General features: G+C 40.2%; 1 protein-coding gene across 5 annotated transcripts in view; it reads right to left on the reverse strand.

Annotated features, from left to right (window-relative positions):
• Window positions 1-8,759, reverse strand: part of ADGRA3 (adhesion G protein-coupled receptor A3) — a 128,691-nt gene that overhangs the window by 80,329 nt on the left and 39,603 nt on the right. For 4 of the 5 annotated variants that reach the window (XR_007096381.1, NM_145290.4, XM_047449703.1 and 1 more), the window contains exon 2: window positions 6,068-6,139. Coding sequence is in view for 2 of the 5 variants with exons in the window: in NM_145290.4 (NP_660333.2) it covers window positions 6,068-6,139 (72 nt within the window). In the remaining 3 variants the exon portion in view is untranslated. Of the gene's footprint in view, window positions 1-6,067; window positions 6,140-7,568; window positions 7,587-8,759 lie in introns of those variants that run through there. The other variant, XM_047449704.1, reaches the window with a different exon arrangement.

An 8,759-nucleotide genomic window follows, 5' to 3' on the forward strand; every position in this document is an offset into this window, starting at 1 on the left:
TTAATCAAGCATTGCCAAAAGATATTTATAGTCAGATTCTCTCATTTAACATCCCCTTTTTCCCCCACCAACCCACAGCTTCCCTAGTAAACAGGAGTCTGACTTCAGGATGTATGGCTAAATCTGAATACATTGGATCATTAAAGCATAAATGAAAAAAGCACAATAATTGCTTAAATAGAACTAAAGGAATATTTTAAGTTCTTGGTAAAAGAACTACCTCCTATAGGAAAGAACATGAAGTATACCAGGTAAGATGCCTTTAACTACAAGTATCAGAACCCTCAACTCAAAATGGCTTGAACAATCACAAAAGTAATTATCTGGCATTACAGGAAATCAAGAAGTCAGGCCTTTGTGGTTGGTTCCACGCATCTCTCAGATCCACCATCCTCAGAATGTAACTGTGCCTTCAGGCTGAGCCTATGGTATCCCAGGTTCAGAAATCACCTCCAACCACAAAGTCATAAAAAGGAACAGACTTTCTTCTCGTACCTCTCCTTAAAAGCTAGGAAATCTTTCTCCAAACCCCACAGCAGGCTGCTCTGCTCCTCATCTCTTATTGACTAGGACAGACTCTGTCAATAGCTGGAAGAGATGCTGAATTACCTTAGCGGCCTAGGGGTAGGATTAACATTGGAAAGTCAAACACACTGACCAGTAGGCAACTGTAGTGTCAGCAGTGAAGAGAATATGGGGGAGGTATGTCACTAAATACTGGTAACAAAATATATAGCACAATACAAGAATGTCAATTCCATAAAACGAAGACAGAGATGGGACTCGGTGCGGTGGTTCACACATCTGTAATCCCAGCACTTTGGGAGGCTGAGGCGGACAGATCACTTGAGGTCAGGAGTTTGAGACCAGCCTGGCCAACGTGGTGAAACCCCATCTCTACCCAAAATACAAAAATTAGCTGGGTGTGGTGGCACACACCTGTAATCCCAGCTGCTTGGGTGGCTGAGACAGGAGAATCGCTTGAACTTGGGAGGTGGAAGTTGCAGGAAGCCAAGATCATGCCACCACACTCCAGCTTGGGCAACAGAGTAAGACTCTGTCTCAAAAAAAAAAAAAAGATAGAGATGGAAGAAGGAAGGAAGGAAGGCTATAGACTAGTGAACACATGGATGATGGATATAAAAGTCTCAGTGCTAAAAACAATCTAAAAAAGGTATCTATCAAAAAACCAAGAGGAAAATTTATAGGAAGTATAAATTTTAGATAATTCCATCTTCTAATAATAATGTTTTTTAGCAAGTAGGCCAACAGGGACTATTATTATGCAAGTTTAGCAGCCTAACAGTATGAGACCTATAAGATCAAGGATCCAAAACATCAATTACCTGGGGAAAAAAAAAGACCCCTTGGTTGATGTGACAGAAGGGCCTATGTACTCTTCCTGCAGATGTCTGCTCACTTCCCTCCCTCACCTCCCTCTGTTCTGTGCTTTCCTCCTGGAGGAGGTGTCCCTGCACACTCTACTGAAAACCGAGGACACCCTCAACCCACAGAGAGCCCCCTCCTAATTGGTTTTGCTCCATGGCACTTACCACAATCTATCATCTTCTTTACTTGTCTGAATCGTTTCATTTATTGTCTATTTTCTCAATCACTAGACTGTTAAGTTACATGAGGCAGAGAGTGTACACTACTTGTCTTCTTCACTTGAAAAATGTCCAACACACAGTAACTCTCAATCACTTCATTGAATGAATGAATCCTCACTGTATTTATCGGACCAACTGGTGCTTGACCCACACCCACTTCTTCCCACACTATGCTTTCTCCTAGACAATCTCATCACCATCTACAGCTTTAAGTCCCTAGACTCAAATTTGTAACTCTAGCCCAAACATACCACTTCTTTGAGTTCTCAATGTCTCCATGTGGAAGCCTAACAGCCATCTCAAAAGTCAACCTATCCCACATTCAGTGTGGCACAGGATACCGTAATCTCTGCCTTCACAAAACCCCAGGGGATTCTGATGCACATGAAGTTTGATAACCATGGTCTAGTCTAGGGCACTGGTCTCTAAACAGAGTATGAGCTTTAAATTACCTGAGACCTGACACGGCTCCCTGCTTCCACCCCATCCCAAACCATCTCATCCAGCATGAGCAAGGTTCTGTCTTCAAAGTCTTTCTAAATTTCATCCCATTCCACCACAAACTCGCAGACATTCACAGTGCTGGCACTCCCAAACTTGGTATCCTCTTACACATTTTCTTTATCCACAGTACTTGAGATTTGCTTACTATGTATATCCTATGTTTCTCCCCATTACTGCATATGTTCCATAAACCCCAAGCCTAGCACAGTGTGCGCACCTTAAATGTTTGTTGAATAAATTTAAATCAGCTACATGGAAAAGACTCATTACCTGTTGAGGCAATACTTGCACCAAACCTTCATATTAAGCTAACCATCTTTTTACGATTTTAATTAATATGATACAATACATATGCATCAGTTATCTACTGCATAGACTTCTAAAATAAAGCAAACTATGTTCAAAAAGGTGAACCAAAACTAGAAAACTAGCTTCCAAGACACCATCAGGATTTAGTTACTTTGTCATAAAAAATAAAACCCCAAATCCAAGCTCCTAAATTAAAAAAAAAAAAAAAATCAACCTAAATATTCCTATGAAAATAAAGCACACACACACACTGCTATCTTCCTACATGGGGCAAGATCAGAAACAAACAATGGGTCATGTTCATTAGTTCAACGGAGCCAGCTCTTACTATCTCAGCCCACTCTCCCCACCTTACCCTACAAAATCCTAACCTTTATTCTGTATGACTTGGCTCCTATAATTTCAAGGCCACAGCTTTGAAATTCTGACCTTGGTGTGAGTAATTCCTTGTTCTGCCAACCGTCTTTTACACCATACCCTATCTGCTGTATTTTCAAGTCGTCCGGTTATTCTGTTCTCATCTTCAGGACTCTCTAACTAGGCAAATCTGAATGGCAAACATGTTATTTGGCCAGTTGTGTCTCTTAGGTGGAATTCTCCCAGACAAGGGTGAAAATAATGGCTTTACTCAGGGGGTGACCCCAGAATGCACCAGCAGAAAAGTGGGAAGTGAGAAAAGAGAATGATGTCCAACAAGGTGAGCTGCTGAAGACGTTACCACTGAGGTACCTGAGACTCAGTCCCTGGGGACTCTGAGGCCAGTGGAGAAAGCACCTCAGGGCGGCCCCACCTGACAGGTGAGGCAGGCAGGGTAGTTATCCACCATCTGCTATCGGTCGCTGGTTGAGGGTTGCTGAAAGCAGGAGTGGGTGGATGGGGTGGCTTCCACCCCAGTACCGGAGCCAAGAATGTTCTCAGGCTTTCATTTGGAAGACATAGGAGAGACGCACAGGAACAGTCAGTGCTGAAGGAATAAAGTCTGCTCCTCCAGAGGAGCAGGGAGCACCGAGTGTCTCCCTCCCAGGGCCAGAGCAGAGCAGCTAAGAGCCCAGCCTTTATTATCCTTAGCAAACTAACACAGGAACAGAAAACCAACTACCTTATGTTCCCACTTATAAGGGGGAGCTAAATGATAAGAACTTATGAACACAAAGAAGGAAACAACAGAGGCTGGGGCCTACTTGAGCGGGGAAGATGGGAGGAGGGAGAGAAGCAGAATAGATAACTTTTGGGTACTGGGCTTAATACCTGAGTGATGAAATAATAGGTACAACAAACCCTCATGACACGTAACAAACCTCTTTAAAATAAAATAAAAGAAGTATAAATGGGTAAAAAAGAGCCCAGCCCTTTCATCACTTTTTCTTTCTTTCTAAAGTGGGCTGCTCTCCCACAAAAACAGCATGGGAGGCAGGTCCCAACTGGGCATGCATGCCCCCGCCACACACTGTCAGACTGAGGCCAGGACTCCGGTCTGGACCTTGATGTGTGTGTACTTTGGATGTGCTGAGCTTAGGGGCAGTGTAGATAAAGATGTTCTCTAACACAAGAGGCCCAGGTCCCAGGGTCAACACTCGGTTTTCACACTGAAGTCCCCACTAATAAAATGGTCTTTCAAAGTCCCTTATCTGTATATTTATCTCTGTGGTCCCAACAAAGGAGTGAGGAAGTATTTTGGGATTCGTGAATAAACATACCCCTGGCTGAAAACAATCACAGCACCTTGGTATCACCCAAAATGGCTAATTAATTTGTTTCTAACATGTACAGAGATTTGTTAGCTTTAAATGGCTGAAAATAAGGTCAAAGACAAGGGAAATTAAGAAATAGATGCAAAAAGGGTAGTAATTCACACCACAGCACAGAACATTAGCTATGCTGTCTATACTTTTTATGGTGTGCATGAACAGCCACATCAATCTTAGGTGCCAAAAATAAAATGTGTTTCTAAACACAACAGACACTATTTATAAACTACGAGTGCCTGCCATCCTTCCTTTTGGAAAGGGAAGACCACACTAATGCCTTTCATTATCAACTAAGCACATACTAAATGCCTGACACTGTGTTATATGCAAATGGTATCTGTCAACCCAGTAACTTTTCTTTGCAGGGAACAGAAAACATAATAGGAATGTACTGTCTCACACAATGATTCAAGGCAGTCTTGCTTCGACAGGTCCTCCCAGGCTTCCTGTCTGCTTTCCTGATAGTCCCAAATGTCCATTCCTGAACCAGCAGTGACCATGGAATGTGTATGAAGGACCGCCCTTAGCTTAGGCAGGCCTAAAGCCAAGGGTGTGATCAGCATACACTAAAGCACATGGACGACATGGAACATGATAGGAATATTGAAATAAAGTGCTACTACCGTGCCAAGAACATTTAAAAATATTCCTGTGTGTTTCTGTATATATATATATACACACAAACACACACACACACGTATATAACCTAACTTAAAGACATCTGATCTAAATGAAAAGAACAGAGACACGCATAAAGAAATGAAGAACACTAGATCATATATATTTACATACACATCAGGAACCTAAGTAATGAAGTCCTGTGCGAGTTCAATCACAGGAGAAGCCTCTAAGGTGAAAGAGTCAAGAAAAGGCCACGCAGAGAAGTGGAGAAAGTGAAGCTGAGCAAAGAGAATTGAGAAAAATGAGGACAGTGTGTTATTCCACAGAAACGGAGACATCTTACAGTGTAGCTCCCTTATGTATTGTGAAATTTTATCCTAAATGCATGAGTTAACAGGGTATTTGAAATGTGATCCCGGTACAGCGTTCAGAATACAAGTAAATTAAATGTCCATTATCTGAAACTCACCAAAGCAAAAATGAGTGCTACCTGTAACACATCATAAGCAAAACTAGACCTAATTGCTAAGAAAAATATATATTTACAAATATATCACATTTAAAGACATCTGAATAAAATATCAAAGTTTATACTAGTGTTTTTCCCCTTGACATCACATCCTCGCTTCTGTTTTCGCCATGTGACATGCAAGTTTGGCCTTCCACCATGATTGTAAGCTTCCTGAGGCCTCCTTAGAAGCCGAGCAGATGCCAGCTCCATGCTTCCTGTACAGCCTGCGGAATCGTAAACCAATTAAACTTCTTTTCTTTATAAATTACCCCAGTATCAGGTATTTCTCTATAGCAATGCAAGAATGGCCTAACATGGCATACATATTTCAGGATATAGAATTTCAACACAGCATCAATGCTTTAAACTAGCATACTTAAAGTCAACAAAGTATGGTCCATGACCTCTGGTATAAGTAAAGATTTACTGGAAGACATCCACGTCGATTCATTTATCATTCCTAAGTATTGTCTTATGCAATACTCATTGGCTTATTATCTAAGGCTGCATTCACACTTCAACGGCAGAGGTGAGTCACTTGTGGCCAGCTGTGAAAACGCAATTTACTTACTATCTGGCCCTTTACAGAATTTAGTTACTTCTTTTTTAAAATAAAGTTCTTAAAATTTTTCATTAAAAAATGTTAGAAAAACTCAATTTTTATTTTGAATAGCTGGGAATTTAGTCACAGATTTACAATGAAGATTTACAATGAAAATGCATTAAACAAAATAATAATGAGATGATAATTAAAGAATACTCACAATCTTTCAAGGAGACTTAACCCAGAAAATGAGCCATTCTTCAGCTCGGATATCTTATTGTTACTCAGAATCCTAAAAAATACCAAAAAAATAATAAGTTGCCTAATATACACTACCAATATCAAAGTAATTTAGCTTATTATGTTTAAACCTATGAGAAATTCTAAGACATCATTTATTAGCCAGAATGTTTGAGATGGCTGAAAAAAAGTGAGTGTCTTCCCCTTTCTCTGAGAAACCAACTATTTAAAGTAGTTTACTCATGCATCTTGTCACATCTAAATTATTTCTATCACACATAATCAAAACTTTAAGAGAGAAAAGTCAATATGTAATAGCTCTAAGTTCAACATAAGCATAAACAATACCATAGCATGTACATTTATATAATTAATCATATTATGCAAGTTGAATACACATTTTTAAAATGGAAACTTAGCAGAAAAATGCATAACCTATGATCTTGTAAAATACTGACTTTATAAAGAAATAAGGTATCTTCTAGACATCATTTCAATAAGACTGAATACTATTTGTAATTTAACAATATACAAATCTACTGTCCATTTGTGTAAAAATATGCTTTTCACATGCACTCACAGACAAACACAGGCAGCTGAATCATAATATATCTCATGCTTTTGGGCAATGTTTATCAAAATTAAATTGAAAACAAAAACTGACTCAAAGAAGTCATAGTTGCGCCTATCCCAAAGGTCGGACTTGCCTGAGAAGAGACTTCATATTATCTGGCACTCTTTCTAGGCTTTGTAACTTTATGTAGCTTTTGGAGCCTGAATATCAATAATGAGCATCCATGAATGAGGTGAAAATGCTAGTTATCTGAATTGGGGAGTGGGAATATCAAGGTAAGAAAATGAGAAAACCAAGGCACAAAAGAGTTAAGTAAAGGGCCCAAGATTACACTAGCCAATGGCAGACCCAGATTTTGTACCCAGGAGTTCCTACTCCAAACGCCAAGTTCTTCAACATACACTAATGTTGGTCACGAGGCACACTACAGGCATCTGGGACAGAAAATTCTCCATCACACACAGCATTGCATAACTTTCAGGGGCACCCTTCACAATGGGTACAGTGTGAGCTAGTGTTTTTTGAGACAATGCAACACAGCACTTCTTTGTATATACAAATGTAAATGGAGCATACCTCTGGATCAGAAGATTTTAGGTATTATTATTTTGTCTAAAAACAACTTGGATTCCTGGTATTAATACAAAACAGCCATTTGGCATCTGATTTTCTTTTATCTAAGTGAAATTTTAAAATCCCTGCAGATTAACATATCAGAGCCTTTTCTTTTAGGAATTCCTAAAGTGAAGCATAACTGGGTTTCGACTCCAGCTCTATCCCTTTCAAGTTATGTTGACTTTAGGCGAGTCACACTTCCTCTCAGTAACAGAGTTCCATTATTGATAAAATGGGAAGAATAAAATCTACCTCACGAACAGTAGAAGGAATTAGAAAAACCATGACATACTCAATGAGTATCCATTAAGTTTCAAATTCTGTTTCCTTGGTTCTAAGACACAGATCCTCCCTCATTTCAATGTTTTCTGACGTGTCAACTCAAGAATGGAAAACCAAACATGGTATGTTATCACTCCCAAGTGGGAGTTAAGCTACGAGAATGCAAAGGCATAAGAATGACACAATGAGGCCGGGGGCGGCGGCTCACGGTTCCCAGCACTTTGGGAGGCCGAGGCGGGTGGATTATGAGGTCAGGAGATCGAGACCATCCTGGCTAAAACGGTGAAACCCCGTCTCCACTAAATATACAAAAAATTAGCCGGGCGTAGTGGTGGGCACCTATATTCCCAGCTACTCGGGAGGCTGACGCAGGAGAATGGCGTGAACCCAGGGGGTGGAGCTTGCAGTGAGCCGAGATCGTGCCACTGCACTCCAGCCTGGGCAACAGAGCGAGACTCCGTCTCGGAAAAAAAAATAAATAAATAAAAAAAAAAGAATGACACATTGGACTTCGAGGAAAGGGTGGGATGCGGATGAGGGATAAGACTACACACTGGGTGCAGTGTATACTGCTCGGGTGATGGGTGCACCAAAATATCAGAAATCACCACTAAAGACCTTATTCATGTAACCAAACACCACCTGTTCCCCCAAAATCTACTGAAAGAAACAAATTTTTTAAAAAATGTTTTCTGAAGTCCAGATGTATCTTACAATCCAAGTATATTACTGGATTGTATTCTGTCCCTCCACCACCCGACAAAGCTATTTGTTAGTTACTAAAGCAAGGATAAGTCTTCAATCATTGGAATGAAGAAAACATGGTGACCAAAAACATTCCGATTAAAATACAATTTCCTCTCATCAAAACCACAAAGGATTTGTTGTTGTTGTTTTTAAAAAGCAGTTAGCACAGGCAAAACAGAATTGAGACTCACATATGGACTCAAAGCTCACTTCCGGAACAAGATTTCCCAAGCAGCCCGGCAGAGCATACCAAGAGCCTATGACCCTAGCTATCCCAAACAGTATCCATCCTGAGCCGGCACTCACCAAACTGACAAAAGGTATTTCCAGCGACTTTATGTCAGCATGATGTAAAACAGACAAAAATCGGAAACTCCCAAAGAGGTCAGTTATAAGAAGAGTTAAACAAATTATAATACATCCAAACAACAAAATTGTATGCCTCCAATAAAAA

This window comes from Homo sapiens, chromosome 4, assembly GCF_000001405.40.
Source record: "Homo sapiens chromosome 4, GRCh38.p14 Primary Assembly".
In the NCBI taxonomy this organism is placed as follows: Eukaryota; Metazoa; Chordata; class Mammalia; order Primates; family Hominidae; genus Homo; species Homo sapiens.